General features: G+C 39.4%; 1 protein-coding gene across 2 annotated transcripts in view, besides 1 other annotated feature; it reads left to right on the top strand.

The window, feature by feature from the left end:
• The window catches only part of BACH2 (BACH transcriptional regulator 2), a 370,316-nt gene that overhangs the window by 89,718 nt on the left and 261,473 nt on the right, over positions 1-19,125 (top strand). For both annotated transcript variants that reach the window (NM_001170794.2, NM_021813.4), the window contains one exon: positions 445-557. The gene's annotated coding sequence lies outside the window, so the exon portion shown is untranslated. The remainder of the gene's footprint in view (positions 1-444; positions 558-19,125) is intronic.
• Positions 12,202-12,496: a silencer, noted in NCBI's record as "tiled region #6453; K562 Repressive non-DNase unmatched - State 23:Low". NCBI's record gives its function as "represses a minimal TATA promoter and a strong SV40 promoter by Sharpr-MPRA in K562 cells {active_cell/tissue: K562}" and the evidence as "EXISTENCE:reporter gene assay evidence [ECO:0000049][PMID:27701403]".

The following is a 19,125-nucleotide window of genomic DNA, read 5'->3' as shown; positions in this document are numbered from 1 at the left end:
AACAAAAACAAAAAAGACAAAGAAGAACCCTGAAACTGTACAATGACCCTTTTACTCTAAAATGTAATTCATATGAATCAAAAAACGCCATGTAAAGAATAAATAGCATGAATGAAAACATGGTGGGGGGAATTGGACTGTTTGGGGGGAATTGGACTGTTTAGTTCATTTGGCCCATGGAAGACTGACCTCCTGAATTCCCTTATGGTACACTGCCTTTCTAGGAAATCTGTGAAAGTTCTAGCTGTTGAGTCCTGGCAGCCCCCGTTTGCACTAGCTGCTTTTCAAGTGCTCAATAATAGCCACATCTGACTAGTGGCTACCATGTTGGACAGTGCAGACTTGGATCATTGCCATCATGACAGCAAGTGCCACTGGACATGGCAGTGCTCTATGCCTTCCTGGGCACCAGCTGATGGATTTCTTCTTTGTTTATATTCACAGTGCAGCTGTCTGCTTCAGAAAGTGAGGGCTCCAGGAATGAGGAGAATCTTCAAGAACTTCCTCGCACTGTGACATGTCTGATCCCTTGCTCCCATCCCTGCAGCATGAACAAGGTAAGAGGTACTTTGAGGAATCAGCACTTGTATTTCCTTTACGGTACCATGATTTTCTGGAGTACATATGTCTTTCCATGATGTGAAGAGGTTGCTTCTCCTGCCAGAAGCATTTCAGAGTTGGAGAGTCGTGTGATCCCCCACAAGCAGGGTCACAGGTGCTGGTGGCTACTCTGGCTGCGTAGTCCTCTGGAGGTGTCATTTATACTTGCCAGGGGCCTCTGAGTGGCTGAAATACTGGGTTTTAGTGTAACTGCCTTGGCATGAATATTGGAATATTGAGACTCTGGGGCTAGATTTCCTGGGACTAAATATCACTTTTTTGGGATGCTAGTGTCAGTGACCCTAGACAAGTGGCCTGACTTCTTGGTTCCCCAATTTCCCCATCTGTAAAATGCTGATAATAATGATACCTACCTGATAGGATTATTGCAAGGATGAAATGAGTTACTGCGTATACCAGTGCTTAATATGGTACCTGTCCACATTACAAGCACTTGATACATATTTACTGCTGTTGTTTTTAATGTTGGGGACACTGTTATCCCTTAGACATAGTTCCAAGAGAGTGTAAGGTGCATCTTTTCCATTTTGATTTATTCCCTGATTAAATTGGTGAGTGGTGATTTATTACCAGATGGGCCCTATGGGAATAAACGAAGAATACAACTTGAGATGCCTTTAGCGTGTGCAGACTATCTTGGGTCAACATAGTGAGTATGTTCTAGCAAGGTGTGTACCAGAAGCTTTGGAGGCACAGAAAAAGGAACATCCAACTCTGGGGAATCTGGGAAAGACAGTGTAGAGGAGGTGACATTTGAGTAGGATCCTAGATGGGAAATGGTAATTTCCTGGACAGGGAAGGTGGGGCAAGGCATTCCAGGTAAAGGAATGTGTTTAGGCACAAAAGCATATGAGAAAGCCTGGTGTGCTCAGAGAACAGCAAAGAGTTTGGTATGGCTGGAGCAGGGATTCTCAGCCTTGACACTTGGTATTTGGACCAGGTAATTCTTTGCAGTGAGAGACTGTCTTCTGAATTTTAGGATTTTTTGTAGCATCCCCTTCCCTTCACTCTAATTGTGACAACCAAAAATGTCCCCAGATTATTGCCCAATGTCCCATACGGGGACAGAATTACCCCTTGGTTGGAAACTGCTGCACAAGTGGAAGGTGGTCAAATATAAGCCCAGAGAAGGAGGCAAGGGCCAGATCCTATGAGCCACTGAAGGATTTAAAACAGGGGAGAGTTGTTTCCGGAGCCTACAAAAACAGGTGTGTTATTGTGGGCCTGTTGTATGGATTGTGGTAGAGTTGGACAGCCCTGTTCGATGGTTTGGTTGTGAAAAGAGCATATGGAATCTCTAGACTTTAGAAAGCCCATTTCCCTGTTGAAATTCTTCTACTAAAGGACCCTCTTCCAGTGGTGACTTTTCTCATGGTCATTTACTCAGCCTTCTCATGGGCACGAAGGGCCCTGGGCAGCTTCAGGGGTGGGAGAAAGCTGGAAAAGCCCTCTGTGCACTTACCCTCTTTCCCTAGATGCAAGTTTTATGGGAGACTCTGGCCGCTTTATCCTATCTGAAGAGACCAGCAAAAAAACAAGCAATTGTTTTTGAGGAGTTTTTGTTTGGCTGAGCTGAGCCAAAGAGAAAGAAACCAGTGCTGAGTTTTCCCGCTTCAACCCCACCCCAGCTTAAACACTTGGCGTTAAGCCTCCTTTGAGAAGTTAGCTGCTAGAATACTGGAAAGTAGGCAGGTGTTCTGCCCCAGGGTCATGACTGGAGGTGGGGATGAGGGGAGATCCATGGCTGCAAACCTTTTTTGGCTCCTAGTATTTGGAGTTTGGTGTATTGAAAAGCTAAGGCAACTCGGGAAATCTGTTATCAGCAAATGCAGTTTGCTGTGACAGCTCCGCCCTAAGTTTCTCCAGGGCAACCCAACATCTAATGTCATGGATTCACTCTCCACACACAGCTGGGAACCAGACTCCTCGGAAATGTCAAGTCTCAGTAGGTGTGTCTGTTGCTTGGGATATTATGTTCTGCCTGAGTGGCTCAGTACGTTCTTTATTTTATATTGTTTTAATTGAAAGTAGTGATTAAGCATGATGTGTCACCTTCATAGGTCAGCATTTTTCTTATGGCTTTCTTGGCATAAGACAAAGAATAGGTCACTCTCTGGGGAGGAAACAGCTCTTCTCAGCATGAATAAAACCAGAGAATCTCCTCCTCAATTATGGTGTTAGTTGGAGTGCTAGAAATATTGTTGTGGGTGTGACTGACGTTCTAAGTGGATTTGTTCCTAGAAAGTTGGAGACATTCGAATTGTGCACTCTCCTCTTCCTCAGACACACACTGTAATGCTCTCCTTTCTTCCTAAATCCCAGCTCACTGACGGGGCACTTCAGTTAGGGAGGTGTTCGGATGGAGGGTGGCCCTGGCGTTCTAGGGTCCTTGTTATTCCTTTGAAGTGCCAGGGCGATGCTGATTGCAGTTAGACATTGACAGCTCTCTTTTGAATCCATTAGAGACCATCCCTCTAGAAAACACAGAATCCCCCAAATCCCGTGCCACAAAAGGATTAGCAGTTGGCCGCACTAATTTAACAGGACTACCCTGATACCTCATGAGTTGCTGTCCATCAGGTAGGGCCTTCATTCCTCACATTCTTGAACTCCTATCTGTGCCAGGGTCTGAGGAAACACCAGAAAGGGGTGTACTTTGGGACTTTGGATAGCTCGCATGTTGGTGTATCAGTGCCAGCTAAAAAGAGAAGCAGAGGGCATTCCTGCGCATAAGGCCCATCAAGAATCTGCTGTCATCCCTGAGGCCAGTCTACAGGGAATATGTTAGTGTACGTGGAATATGATAACAAACTCATGGGTTTACACAGAGTAGACAGCCTCATATTTATTTATTCACCTTTTAAATATTGTAAACAGGCATTAATGGTTGTAAATTCTGACAACCATTGTAAATTCTTACATGTTAAAGAAATTGTGGGGCACATATTTTCCCAGGGTGTGCATTCTCCCAAACCCTCATGCAGACTTGACCATCTTTCCAGTGTTCATACATTCTTCGCAGCTTTTTGCAAGAGCTGACTTTCCAATCTTTATGTTGATCAAAAACTTCATAATTAGAATTTAACTCTTTTTTTTTTTTTTTTTTTTTTTTTGGAGAGAGAGAGAGAGGGTCTTGCTCTGTCACCCAGGCTGGAGTGCTCAACCTCCTGGACTCAAGCAATCCTCCCACCTCAGCCTCCTGAGTAGCTGGGACTACAGGTGTGTGCCACCATACCTGGCTAATTTTTGTATTTTTTGTAGAGATGGGGTTTCGCCATGTTACCCAGGCTGGTCTGGAACCCCTGGACTCAAGCAATCCTCCCATCTCAACCTCCCAAAATGCTGGGATTACAGGTGTGAACCACCTCACCTGGCCAAAATTTAACTTTTAAATTCTGTCAAAAGTATTTCTACTACTTTCTTGGTTATTTTCTTGCTAATATGTGTAAATATATATTACATATAGTATATTTGCCAGTAAGAAAAACCAACATTTCTGGTTTATCTGTGTTACTGCTGCATTATCATGCTATAGAGAAAGGATTTCAGTGTGTCACTTAAAAGCCATAGCCAAATGGGAAGCCAATTGAACAGGATTCTGTAGAGGCAAATTGTGCAGGATGGTGTACGTTCAGTGCATACTGACCACTGTGTACATTCACAGAAAACACACTAGCAAGAAAAGTGTTGTTCTTCTCTTGAAAGATCTTTCCTTCTTAGTAGCAACTTTGGGATTATGATCCTTTACTCTTCTCCCTCATGGTCATTGTTTTTTATGAAGGCATGTCACATGCTGTTCTGTGCTTTAAATTTATGAGGACACTCCATCTGATTGAAAAATAATTGATTTTTCCATTATTATACAAAATGACCCTCTCTCTTCCCCCATCATGAAAAAGGATCTTCTTGAGAACTGTTTCTTCCTTGTTATGTTCAGATCAAGCTGGATCTGATTTTTATTGCTTTGGACAAATGCCAAAGCATCCAAATGAAGTAGAGTAGTGCCCCTTGTCTCTTTTAGTGGGTGGATGCCACTGTTTTGCTTAATGATCTGCCCAGCAGAATTTTTTTTTCTCTGAATATTTTCCAGTATTCAGCACCACATCCTACTGTCCCAGGTCTGAGGCAGTTTCACGTTTACACGCAGATCAGTATCTCTACAGTCAACTAAAAAGTAAAACTGAAATTTAGTTTCTACCTTCATTTGGAGTTTTTCTTTCATTGCACCTCCTTCATATGAAGCTGTGAAGTCCAGACTTTATTATCCCTGCCTCTCTCACCCCAAACCTGGCATATACAGAGCTCTAGTTGGTAAAACATCAGCTCCAACACATATTTGTCAAGTGCATACTATATGCCATGCACTGTGCTTGCAAGAAATACATTATGAACGTAGCAAAGGTATTTTCTATCTAAGACAGCTGCTGTTCTGGCAAAGGTAAGAAGAGTCATCACGCCCACTGGTTTAATATTTTAACATAAACCTAATATGAACACTTTTTTCATTTTAAACTTCTTAAAGAGCAAGTTAACAGAGCTACTGGAGGTTGTGTAAGGAATTGGTGAATAATAAACATAAAAGATCTCTCTCCTTTCCAGGACACCCTCAATGGTTTGTTTCACCAAATGTCCAATCTATATTTAATAAGCCTCAACAGTCATTTTTCTGAAGGCATTGGCCAGGTCCTCCTTGTGGCAGACTTTGAAGAGCTATTGCAAGGTCTAAACTTGTGACATGGAAGAAAATACAACTAAAAATTAAATGATCTTAGAATAAAGAAGGCCTTATTAATTTCTAGTGTCAGAAATTATCAAGGAAGAGAATGTACTTAGCTATGTAACACCTCAGAACTTCTTTCAATCAAAAGACATTCTGAACTATTCTGAAAGATAAAAGACAAGCTGGGGCAGTATTTACCCATGTATGAGAAAGAGTTATTAAGAGTTCTTACAAATTAATATAGATTTATAACATAAAGATAATTACACTAATAGAAAATGGGCCAAGAACAGAAAGGTAAGACCAACAAAGAAAGAAATATGATCAACAAAATAGAAGAAAAATGTTCAACCTCAACAGCAATCAAAGAAATGCAAATTAAAATGATGAGATAGTATTTTTCACCTATACAATTGATGAAGATTTGTAACATTTACCCAGTGAAGTTGGGAGTAGGGAACATCAGGCTCTGTCATACACAGTTAATGAAAGAACACCTTTCTTAAGGGGACTTAAATAAGGTGTATCAACGCCTAAAAAATTGACATACCTTTTGTCCCAGAATTTCCATTTCTAGAACATTAACTCAAAGAGAACCGCCATGGATGTGTTCAGAAGTTTAGCTAAAATGTTCATCACAATATTCTTAAAATAGTAATTTTTGAATAACCATAGTACAGCCATATAATAAAAATGCCAAGGAGGGATTGAGGAATACTGAGTGACATAAAAAGATGTTCTAAATAAATTGCGAAGAAGACAAGTTATATAACAGCATGTGCAGTCTAATCATTTCATTTTTTAAAAAAAGGTACAGTATGCACACAGAATAAAGATTGCTTATACACATCAACATATTATGAGCATTATCTTTATTTTGCTTGTATGTTCTAGATTTTCTTAAGCAATGTGCATTTCTTTCATACTAAAAATATTTTTAAATAAAATATACTAATTATCTTTAAAATATGAACTTCATTGCATTTTTAAAATATACATGATAAAAAGACCGGAAGGCTATTGCCCAGAATGTTGACCATGGCCTTCCCAGAGGGTGGAAACATAGGACACCTTTCTTTCTTTTTTAAAAAATACTTTTTGGTATTTTCAGCTTTTCTACAATATTTGTGTATTTCATTAACAACCAGATTAGTAACCAAACATTTAAAAAATAAGTACTATTTTAGCTGTTTTGCATTTGAGGTGCAAATGGATGAAGATATTTAGTGAGCAGATAGAAAACAGAGAGTGGTCAAAACAGAGATTTGGACCTAGGGTCATTCTGCTTGGCATATTACCAGGAAGGATCATTTTAATTTACTAATGGTTTGGGGGCAGTAGTGAGTAGAGAAATGCTCTAGAAAAAGATGCCATCATTTGATTCAGTGCCTCAATTTTTAAAAATTAACAGTACATCCTCTTACTCGGTACTGTGCCATTTCTTCATTTACGTGTTCAAAGACACTGCCGATGTGTACAAGTTTGAACTAGACCAGTGGTTCCCAAACTATGGTTTAGGGACCCTTGGGAGGGGCACCCTTAGACCCTTTCAGGCTGTCTGCCTGCAAGATAAAAGCCATTTTTATAATAATACTAAGATACAATTTACCTGTTTCACCCTTTCTCTCTTGACTATACACAACGGTGTTTAAAGAGACTGTGACATGCAATGACATCACTTCTGGGATGTGTGCCTGTGTCTTCATGTTGCAAAACTTTCTTGGGTTTAACCTCCAGTATGGTAAACACTGATAGAAACAACTCACATAAACAAAAGCTCTTTAGGGTCTGCGATCATTTGTGAGCCTGTAAAAGGGCCGTGAGATGAGTTTGAAAACGACTGAGTTAGACTGTGCCTATGTCTTATATGTGGCAGGCTTTCCTCTAACAAGAATCTGGACCCTCAGTCCTGGTCAGTGAGTGCCCTTGGACATTGTAGCACTTCTATTCTCACTTTCTACATTTTTAAGGAATAATTTCCCTTAGCTCTTCAAAAAACTTCATTTTTATAGAGTTTGTGAAGCCAAAAAGAAACATTGCTGGCACCAGGCCACTGTAGCCCCTCTGTTACGTGTACATTGAGTCCTGTCGAATGTGAGGTGCATGGAAATGTTAAAGGGCAAGTTAGACCTCCAGACTCTGTCTCCACCTGCCTTGTACTGGGAAATTCTGTGAAGTTTCCGGAAGAAAATAGCACTATAACTCCCTTCTGAGAGGTATGGAAGTGCAAATTTAAAATACAACTTACCATGTAATTGAGTAGAGGGTCGATTTGGCATGAAAGAGAGATAAGATAAATTTAAAATAATTAACTGAATATGTTAACGCTCATTTGTCTTTAAAATGCGTGCATGCATATAATGTGTGCGTGTGTGTGTAAATATGTATGAAACATATACATTCCAGAGGATTGCTTCCTAAGTTACGTAGACTTCTCTTTGTACACAGTCATCTTGACTATGGAACTATGGTAATGCTTCTACGTCAGTCCCATCTCTTCTCCTCCTTTCTGTCTAACCAGAAACACATTTCCGTTGTTCTCTCTTTGTGTGCATGGCTCACCACCAAATCTCAGAGCAGTGTGTGGTGAAGCACTGGCTGGTGTCTACTTCTCCAAGAAGCAGTCTGCATTAGCTTGTTCTCACACTGCTAATAAAAGACATACCTGAGACTGGGTAATTTATAAAGAAAAAGAGGTTTAATGGACTCACAGTTACATCGGAGGCCTCACAATCATGATGGAAGGTGAGGAGGAGTGAAGTCAAAGTCACATCTTGCATGGCAGCAGGCAAGAGAGAGCATGTGCAGGGGAACTCCCCTTTATAAAACCATCAGATCTCATGAGACTTATTCACCGTCACAAGAACAGCATGGGAAAGACCCACCCCCATGATTCAGTTAACAATTACCTCCTACCAGGTCCCTCCTATGATATGTGGGAATTATGGGAGCTACAGTTTGAAATTTGGGTGGGGACACAGCCAAACCATATCACAGTCTTCATGTTCCAGGGCTTATGCTGAAAATCTGAACCTTTTTGTACAGAGAGTTTGAGCATCTGATGAATGATTGTGTTGGAGCACCTCAAAGTGAGCTCTAGCCCTGAGACTCTGTGCACCCACTACCGTGTCATATGGATATGGCAATGCCTTGTCTTGAGTGAAAGGGTCATGTGGCCTGACTTAACATCTGATAATGTCAGAAAAGATGAAGGAGAGTCTGAAGAGGTAGGAGGTAAATTAAGTCTTCGGAATAGAAAAGCTGGACTTTGTGTTAAGACCCTATAGGCCCCAGAGAAGAAAGGATCTGTTTTGACATGACTGTAATATAATTTCAAGTCTGAGAGGCCTAGCTGTGAATCATGATAACTTCTTTGAAATATGGCTGCAGCTACTGACCATCTGTCGGGTTCTAACTGAGGTCGGAGGAGAGTCGGTGGATGAGTGGCAGGCAGCTGAAAGACCAGTCAAGGAATCATGGGGGCATTTCAACATGGCTTTATTCTCTGGACACACGGGAGCTGTGGGTGCAAGCAAGCCATGGGCACAAGCAAGCCATGGGTACAAGCCTGAGGATGAGCCACAGGTGCAAGCCGTTACATACAGCATTAGCAGGGTAATTATACCTTTTACAGACAATAGTGGCTCCGAGTCAAGCATGAGCACACATGAGTGGTTACTTAATGCACCTCACATGGCATGGTTACATAACAGGCAGAGCTGTGTGCCTGCACTCCAAACTCGCTGAGTCATGCTGGACTAGATGTCTGCCTCGGCCTATTCTTGACCACAGCTCATCCATTTTCCTTACACCATCAAACAGGTTTCATTTGTAGGAAAGCACATATTCAGTCCCACTTCATTCTTGTTGCTGGTACTTTCACACACATTGTGATTGTTGGTTTTGGAATCTTGTTCATCCTCATTTTTTGAGGATTTAAAGAGGAGTGCCTAGTATTTTCTTAATTAAAACAGGCTTTGCTTCTCTGCGTCCCCTGCCCCAAACCAATGGACTGCCCTGGGCCGTCCTTCATCAGGAGTTTTAATTGCATGTTGATTGAACTGGTAGGTTCTTGTCCTACATCATCATGTTGGACTAAGCCCACAACAGCCATGCAGCCTCAGTAAAGAGGCCCTTTGGATACTCAAAGTGTGCTGCTGCCTTTTTCTTTGTGACTGGTGATGGCTGGGTTCCTACAACAACGGCCAGGGGATTCTGACCTTTATGAATCAGGCAGAGGAATGCTTCTGTCTTCTTTCTCCAAGTCCTCAACTCTGCCCTTTTTCTGTCAATTAGTAGGCCTTAATAGATACAATTAAGAGAATTCTACTTAGTTAATTGGTGATTGGAAACATGATTATTTAGGTACTTAATCTGTGGTTTGTCCATCTCTAGAATATTAACAATTGATTTTTGCCTGATTTTACAAAGGTATCATCTCAGTGGGATTGCTATGTATGAAAGGAAATTTATAATGGAATGATTGCTTCCAATCCAGTTTATTAATTTAAGTACGTAATACTTTAGATTGGCTTTATTTTCCCTTCATTTTTGTGATACAGAGGCCTTATAACGTATAGCTGTTTGCTGGTATTCTTCCCAGCTTCCTATTGTCCTTTGTCTTCGTAAAATAAGCCTAGCAGTATTTTCTATATTTTCAGAGAATCTTGTGCTTTTGAATATATGTACATCATTGGCTTTGTTTTTAAAAAAACTTCATACTGTGTGATAAAATTAATGTAATAAAAAGGTAGAGATGCCTATTTACAATTTGCAGAATAATTTGCAGAAACTCCTCAGTTACTGTTCAGAAGACACATATTTCTAGTCCAGTAGACATCTAGTAAATGATGTTTACTTTTAAATGCAGAGATTTGATTTGACTAATCATAGTTTATATGTTCTTCTGGTTTATTTGGTTTTCTTTTCTATTTTTTTTAATGGAATAGTTTTGTAATTTCTTACCACTCTCAAACTTTAATAAAGTGGCATCTTGAGGCTAGTTTCAGTTAAATATAAATATAAGCAATTAATTAAGATAACCAACCCTAACCAGAGAGATAAAGTATCATCGCGTGTCATAGTGATCAAGGAGCACCTGTTAATGAGAACTGTAGGAAAACTGCAACCAATCATGAAAAAAAAAGTGTTGGGTGAAATTAACAATGTCTGTGTTTCTTGTTATTTCTTAAATCCAACCCATAAACAATTTGCTGTGACAGCTCTAGGCTGGGATTACGGCATTTGGGATGAGGTCTGATTATAGCTAAAAATAGACACGTGTATTGAAGATAAGAAAAGGAATATTAAACAATTGAAATTTTGTGAAAGACTGATGCTGTTTCATTGTAATAATTTCCCCAAAGGCACATTAGTAATGCTGCTAAATACAGACTTTAATAGACTTTAATAATGTGTACTTTAGAGGCCTGATACACAAAGGAATAATGTATAAAACATTCATTATGAAAAATTGCTACCTTTTTTATTTAATAAGAAATCTGTTGAAACAAAACCTATGGCATTGTGTTCTTGGCTATTAGCAGGCTGAAGAATAATTGCTACCTTCTTTTACATTTTTTCACCTATTCTAATCAAGTTGCAATCATATTTTCTTATTTGTTCCATGAATGAAATGGAGATTAAAAAAAAAAAAAGTACTTGCATTGAATGGACCCTTGTTCAAATTGTGGCTCATTCTCTCGCTACCTTCATGATCTTGGGCAAGTTACCTAAAGTCAAAACTCCGTTTCTTTATTTGCAAACTGAGGATTGTTCTACCTATCTAACAAGGTAGGAATAAGTTAAATGTTGACACAGTGGAGTCCCTATGTAACAGACACTCAGCAAATGCTTTCTATTATGATTACTTTCTACATCTCTTTCTCTTTATGTTGCTTGTTTCTTTGAAGGACTGTAGTGGAGGAGCTGGAAGGGGGTTGAGAGTAGGAAAAAGCAATTAAAAAGATACCTTAGCTGCTCTGTAGCCAAGCCTTGCATTGGATTTCAATTTGATTTTAATGTGCTGCTGCTGAGAGCCATGCTGTTGAAAAAGAGAGAAGAGTAAGAAGCAGATGCTCTTAGAAGAACAGTGGGGCATTTATCTCTTTTAATGAGATAACATCATTAGAGTGACAAAGTGCAGCGAATCAATACTCGAAATGGACTGGCGCTATCTTCCCAAAGTGCGCTGATTGTTACACTTCACAACCTTAGAATCCGCTGAATCACGAATTCTGTCTTATCTGTTATTAGAGCCGCTGGCTTTGATCTCACAGACTAGATCCACACCTTAGGGATCTCCAGAGGAACAGGAAAACAGACTAATAGGATAAATGAGAAAAATCCAAGGTGATTTATAAACTGCCCTGTAATCAAGGAACCTCAGAGAAAGGTGGTTGTGCTTGTTTTTTCCTTGGACTTCTTTAAATGGCTACTCATAACTGCCTTCCCCTCTGCTCGCTCTCCTTGCTCTCTGTCTGCTTCTTGGTGTAATGTCAGAAACGCTAATCATGTCAGACTGTGACACTGACAGCCCTGACATTCACAACAAAGAGACAAGGAGGAGAGAGAGGAAAAGAGATGGGGGAGGGGGGAGGTGAGGAAAAGCAGCAGGAGAAGCATTTTTTTATTGCACATAAAATCCATAGCTGCAGAATCACCCACATCTGGACATGTCATATCCAAGGAAAATCAAGGAAGGCACAAGGTGAATTCCAATAGAGATTGAAACTGAGCTGGGGATTTTCCCCTCTTCTTTTAGATTTCATTGTGTAGTTTATATTAGAATTACTGTGACTATGATTTCTTCTCATCAAGAAAAAGGGCATTTACATTTATTTTTCCTTTTTCTTTACTACAGTTTTTCTCTTCGAAACAAAGCAAAGTTAAACACAGATCTTAGCAGGAAGTGTGTGCTGTCAGAGGTTTTCCAATTTATTACCAGATTCCCATAGTTTAATCTGAACAATAGCCAGTTCAGGAAAGAAGTCATGGGTGAGGGATGTTTTCTGACCATGGCAAGGCTGAATGTCATGACAAAGCTGTTCAGTGTCATCCTCAGGCCCTTGGCTTCTGCGGCACCTGCTTAAAGCTGCTGGATGCAGAAAATGCTGATGTTACCTGTTCCCTAACAGTTTGGAGTGGGCTTCCAAATACCTTTGAGACTTCTGTTTCTCTCAGGCACTTTCTCCATTTGGAATAATGCTGGTGAGTGGTCTGCAATCTCTGTCTTGGATCAGTCATGACCTGAAAATCGGCTGCCACATCTCACATGTGTTTTGAATCCAGATGCTATGATCTAAATTGAGCTCTGAGCTCAGGCTGAATCATCCTAGCTTTTCTATAAACATGAGAAGCCAGCTGCCAGCTCGGCTTTTGAGGTATTTTGAACTATAACTCTAAGTCTTACCGAAGATAGTTATCATTTCATTTTTTCTTCATGTCAGAAAAAAAAAATCAAAAATGGAAAATGGTATCCAGTATTTATTCTGTATCAGTTACCCTGTCATAAAAGAGGGTACATTTTTTGTCCATATTCAAACAGAAGGTATTCTGTACCTAGTGACTTCTTTTCAGATTGATTATAAAAATATTGAGAACTTTGGAAAAGGCTGATAACTCATTTCACAGTGTTCTCATCTTTAGTACCCAAGTAAAATTTTACATACTTGGGCTACTTGATAGAAATGCTCCACTTAATTTCAAAAAAAAAAAATTAAGTGGATTATGTGGCGTAGTTGAAGTTCCAGCAACTTTGACATTGTGACTTGTTTAATATTCTTGAGGAAATTCTACTTCTATTGGCAGAAGAGAGTAAATTTATACCCTATGGAGGATTTGAGAGAATTTACCCCAAAATATCTTCCTGTAAATTCAAATTTTCTTTGAAGTGTTTTTAATCCTAAAATTTTACATGGATTGTTCCCTGTGATATGTGATAGGTCCATGTTTGTTTTCATGTAAAATAATTTAAAATTACTTGCCACTTAAATTAATTAGGTCCTATAGTAGGTAATGACAGCTGGTATAACAGATAAGCCCTCAAAATTGAATGGTTTGACACAACTAGTTTCCTTTCTTGCTCAGCTCTCAGCCCAGTGGAAGTATTTCTGATCAGTGAAGTGCTTTTATTGAGAGGTGATTCAGGAATCCTGAACTCAGGTGCCTTCCGTCTTCTGGCCTCACCATCTATTTTGTCTGCTCAGGCTGCTGTAACAGAGTACCACAGACTGGGTGGCTTAAACAACAGAAATGTGTGGTCACACAGTTCTGCAGACTAGGAGTCGAAGATCAAGGTGTCAGCAGGGTTGGTTTCTTCTGCGGACTGTGAGGCAAGGATCTCTTCCAGGCCTTGCTCCTTGGCTTGTAGAAGGTCACCTTTTCCCGAGTCTCTTCACATCATCTTCCCTCTTTTCCTGTGTGTATCCAAATTTTCCCTTTTTATAAGGACACCAGTCATATTGGATTAGGGGCACACTCTCTTCCAGTATGACCTCATTTTAACTAATTACATCTGTAATGGTCCTATTTTCAAATAAGGTCACTTTCTGAGGTACTGGGGGTTAGGACTTCACCATGTGAATTTTGAGGGGACATAATTCATCCTGTAACACCATCTTGCAATTGTCTGCACCTCACTTCTTAATCACAGTCGCCTTGAAGTAAAGCACCATCTTTTCTCATATTCCTTTGTTGAGCACTAGTCACGTGGCTGCACCTGGAGGTGAAGTGGCCTGGGAAATGTAGTCCCGTGCTGAATAGTGATTGTGCTAGATGGCCACATGCACACACAGGAGCCACCCCATCTTTCTCAGAATGTGTATCAAACTCTCCTGTATCTTCCAGTGCTTCTGAGCACACCTGTCCAGAGAGCTCTCAAAAAGGTAATCAGTGTTCAAGTTTGAGAATCCTATTCTAGCATGGCTAGGAATGCTTTTCAGTTAACACCCTAAGGATTTATATGTAAGTGAGTGCCTAAGGTTGCTTACTGTTTTGTTTTCTTAAGAATCTAATATATTCTCAAGGGAATTTTACTTACACTAGGGTTAATCACTTTTTCTTCTTGTGAAACTAGTGAAATCCAAATGAATGAAGTTTAACTCTTAGCCAAAAACTTAGCTTGTGGTTAGAGTGATTTTCTACAGTACAGTAACTTTTTTTGTTACATGTTCTACTATTGCTGAAAAATGATATATTTCCAAGAGGGAGAAAAGGATATTGTGAGTGCAGAAGACGGTTGTATAACCTGCTTTGCTTATCTCAAATGGCTAGACTTTAGTATTTAATTAAAGAAGTCTTGCCTCTCCTATCAAGTTAGTCATTATTTTGAAGGTTGAACGTGGGTTTTGTAAGTGACTAATTGCTTTGTATGTTCCTTTTCAATTACAATAAGAAGTTATGAATTCTCTACATTTAGAACTGCTAAAAATTATTTAGATTTACCTGTTGAATAGGTTTATTCTTTAAAAAAAAAAAAAGGAATCGAGAAAAAATTTCCACTGTAAATTTTTGGATTCTCCAAGGAATTTGTAAGAAATCTCCCATGAAAAAGAGAGTGATAGCAATTTGAAAAGGATAAGTAGTTGCAGTCTGAAAACTCAGTAGGTAGTGTGAAAGCACATTAATACTGAACCATAATATGTAATGTAAGATTTTAGTCATTAAGAAACCACTATATTGCTGTCTTATTGTTCTGTTACTTTAAAACACAGTTTTTACCTAAAGACTTAAAACCCACCAATGGTATTATAAATTTCCTTTTGGTCAAAAAACTGACAGTTGTACTGTAGCAAAGCTAGTCATTTGAACAGTGGCCTTTTCATTTATAATGGTTATAGTTTTTAATATGTCAAAATCTTAGCAAGTATTCGAGTCATTTTAAGAATGAATTAAATCCTCATTCATTTTGATATTATGAATTCAGATTTTAGAGAAGGGTCTAGGATGAAGTTTGTCCTTTGTAGATATTTGATAAATAATCATTATTTTAAGTATTACCATTTTATGGAATCCCTGTTTGCCAGATACTGCATTAGCCTCTTTACAATAGACTATATTATTGCTAATTTTCAAACCCAATTTGCACAGTAGTTGGTATTATTCCCACTTTACAGATGGGGAAACGCAGAGACCCTTAAGTAATGAGCCCAATAATCACGTGTCTAGATAAAGCAGATCCAATATTTGAATTTGGATCTTAGTGACTCCAAAATCCATGCACGTTTCCATTCCGTCACATTGGAATGTCCTAAGCGTATTTGTTGAATTGAATTCGAAATATATTGAGTAAATTTGCAATGAACTAAACACAAATACAAAATCCCAGAATGAATGTTTTAGTTCTTAAAAGAATGAGCCATTTGCAAATGTGCGGATGAATGCAGTAGTTGAAAATTTGTTCCATCTAATCATTAAAGCAAGTCTCTAGGACTTTTACTCGGTGACAGTTTAGTAGACTGCCACTTCCTTAAATATGTGAGCAGTGTTTGATTCAGAATACTTCTTAAATATCCATTATGTGACCAAATTAGAGTTCTTTAGAACTCTTACAGTTCCTTAAAACTGGTTTCTACTTCACACTCTCACACTTGCCCTCCTTTCTGAATGTGGCCAGGTTATGCAGGTCTTACTGATTTACAGAAGCAAACACAAGAAAAGGTAGCCTTAAGTCACGGATGGGCCTGGCCCGAAGGCAAGATGAAGAAAACCAGTGAGAAGCTCAACCAGAAACCTAAAATGAAAGAAAGCTCTCCTCTTGAAACACTTCACCTTTTCTCCTTTCCTAGCAAAATGATAGGCCTGATTTGTGATGGTTCAGAGTTGCTATCTGCATCATTTTCAGTTTCATCCAGTTTACTTTCTCATAGTTTCTGCCGAGCAATTATGGCCAAGCCACATCCCCTGTTTGGAACTTGGTGTCTCCATATGTGAAACAAAGCAGTGGAATTAGATCAGAGTCGTTGGTCTGGGGTCTTAGCCTAGGTTGGCTTCAGGGGTTGTCTCTAAAATGCTGGGAAGTGAATACAATATTTGGTATGCATATACATTTTTCTGGAGGGAGAATGGTTCATAGCTCCCATCAGATTCGCCAAGGGGCTTCAGCTTACAAAGAAATCAGTGGGCCAGATTATCTTTGAAGTCTGTAGGGACTCTAGCATTTTAGTTTTCTATAAATTTTATCGTACACAGACTATCACAGGCAAGATAGTTGAGAAAATAAATGGGTTTTGTTTCCTTTCTACAGTGTGACATGTAAGGGAAACTTGGAGTGTTTTTACTATAGACAACTGCTTTTCTGTTCTGTAAGATAAGTGTTCTGGAATGTTTGTGGATAGTGACAAAATTCTGTTATTAGCAGAAGAGCAGAAATAGTAAATCAATTAGAAGTGATTCACATTTTGGTGATGAATGAACATTTTTTCAGGCCTGAATATTTCTTACAGTTATCTGTAATGGTAGCTTAAAGAGTCATTTAAAATAGCACTTTCCTATTTGGAATCTCAGACGCTTGGAATGTTAGTGCCTAAAAATGCTCAGAGTTGGCTGCTTGCGGTGGCTCACGCCTATAATCCCACCACTTTGGGAGGCCCAGGAGGGCGGATCACAAGGTCAGGAGTTCAAGACCAGTTTGGCCAACATAGTGAAACCCTGTCTGTACTAAAAATACAAAAAGTTAGACGAGTGTGGTGGTGTGCACCTGTAATCCCAGCTACTCGGGAGGCTGAGGCAAGAGAACCACATGAACCCCTGTGACAGAGGTTGCAGTGAGCCGAGATCATGCCGTTGCACTCCAGCCCAGGTGACAGTGCAAGACTCCATCTTTAAAAAAAAAATGCTCAGAGTTAATAGACCAATTCCTACCCCAAAGAAGCAGAGGCTTCAGAGGGGAGATGATATATCTTTGGTTCTTTCACTGCCATAGTCTCTGTTTGGAGAGCATACTGTCCTGCCAGAGAACCTTCTCATATGTGTCATGGCTCAGCAGATTAACCAACCTGAAGCAAGATCCCTATTGCTCAGCAGATAAACAGATGAAAGAATAAAGAAAAATACTTGAGCACCTCCTCCTTCTGGTAGGGAAGAAAAAGAATTAAGTAGCATCCCCTGTCCAGCTGTTTAGTTTGAAGCCAAAGGAAGCCCACTCTTTTTTTTTTTTTTTTTTTTTTTTTGAGACGGAGTCTCGCTCTGTCGCCCAGGCCGGACTGCGGACTGCAGTGGCGCAATCTCGGCTCACTGCAAGCTCCGCTTCCCGGGTTCACGCCATTCTCCTGCCTCAGCCTCCCGAGTAGCTGGGACTACGGGCGCCCGCCACCGCGCCCGGCTAATTTTTTGTATTTTTAGTAGATACGGGGTTTCACCTTGTTAGCCAGGATGGTCTCGATCTCCTGACCTCATGATCCACCCGCCTCGGCCTCCCAAAGTGCTGGGATTACAGGCGTGAGCCACCGCGCCCGGCCGGAAGCCCACTCTTGAAGTGTTAACTTGCACATTCACTATACTGAAACAACATTTTACTACTCTCCAGGAAATCCTAGTTCAATTTAAACAAAGACTGTCTCTTAGATGTTTAGATATGCCTTTTAAACAATCTGTGATCTTTACCTACATTGTTGCTTCTCTCCAAAAAATGTATTTGTTTTTTTCTGTTGGTGAATTTTAAGAAGTTGCTTTTAGACCAAATGTAAATATACAATATAAATTTCTATATGTGTATGTTTCACAGCCATTTACTCTCTCTGTTTCTGTTTAAATTTTAAGCATTTTGGCTCTGTTTTCTTAGGAAACTTTGTAAAAAGAGAGTAATTACGGGTAGGCTGCACTAATATTATTTGTCTTCAAAGTTGCTATGTATAATTCACTATTAAGATTTATTCTCCAGGGTGAGCCCACAATTTAAGGTCAAGAGGAGGCAAAATGTTCAGAGCTAGCCTTTGGAAACTGATGTTGTTTTTTATTTTTTTTTAATCCAATGCTAAAAAACGTAAATACTCAGTCCCCTTTCGCTTTTTTTTTTTTTTTTTTTCATTTTGGGGCCACCAGACCTTATTACTAGATTGGTAGTATGAAGTAACTATTAAGATGTCCAGTTTTTCAGTAGGAGCAGAAAAAGTAAGTATAAAATATTAGCTATATTATTTTATTCAGTTTACTAGAATAAGCTTACAAATGATCAGTGTCTTTTGGTCATGAATGAGTACACAGTATGGCACACAATTTTGTACCGTGTATACTTGTATATGTATTTTTTTTCTTTTTTTCTTCGTGTTTTATTTTTGTTTTTATATATGTATTTTAATAGATATGAATAAATCAGTGCCCGGGTACCAAATAATGAGCACCCTCAAAATTTGAATTTCAAGGAACAGTGGCAGAAAATATCATTTGAAACTGAAACTATCACAGATCAACAGAAAAATGACTGAAGTTAGCTATGTATAAAATTCCCATAAGTTAACCCACACTTAAACAAATTCATGGTGTGTCTACTGACATTCTATACAAATTCATGGTGTGTCTACTGACATTCTATCAGGAAAAATAAAATAAAATAAATGTAGATAATTAAACTTTACATTTTAGAAATTAGAACACATTTATATCAAAAGCAAACAGCTGGCTGCTGGTCTGTATGACAGTCACCAAAAGGAGTTGGGGAGCCTGAAAGTTTTAGGGATGTTCCTGATTATGACAGCCCAACTGGCAGCCATATGTCACCAGTGCATTTTAAGTCTTTAGGCTTGATGACAGCAACCTATGACCACTGGGCTCCCTTGCCAGCACCT

Source organism: Homo sapiens, chromosome 6, assembly GCF_000001405.40.
Source record: "Homo sapiens chromosome 6, GRCh38.p14 Primary Assembly".
Lineage (NCBI taxonomy): Eukaryota > Metazoa > Chordata > Mammalia > Primates > Hominidae > Homo > Homo sapiens.
Note: the sequence above shows the minus strand (reverse complement) of the source record. Positions and strands in the feature narration are given on the sequence as shown.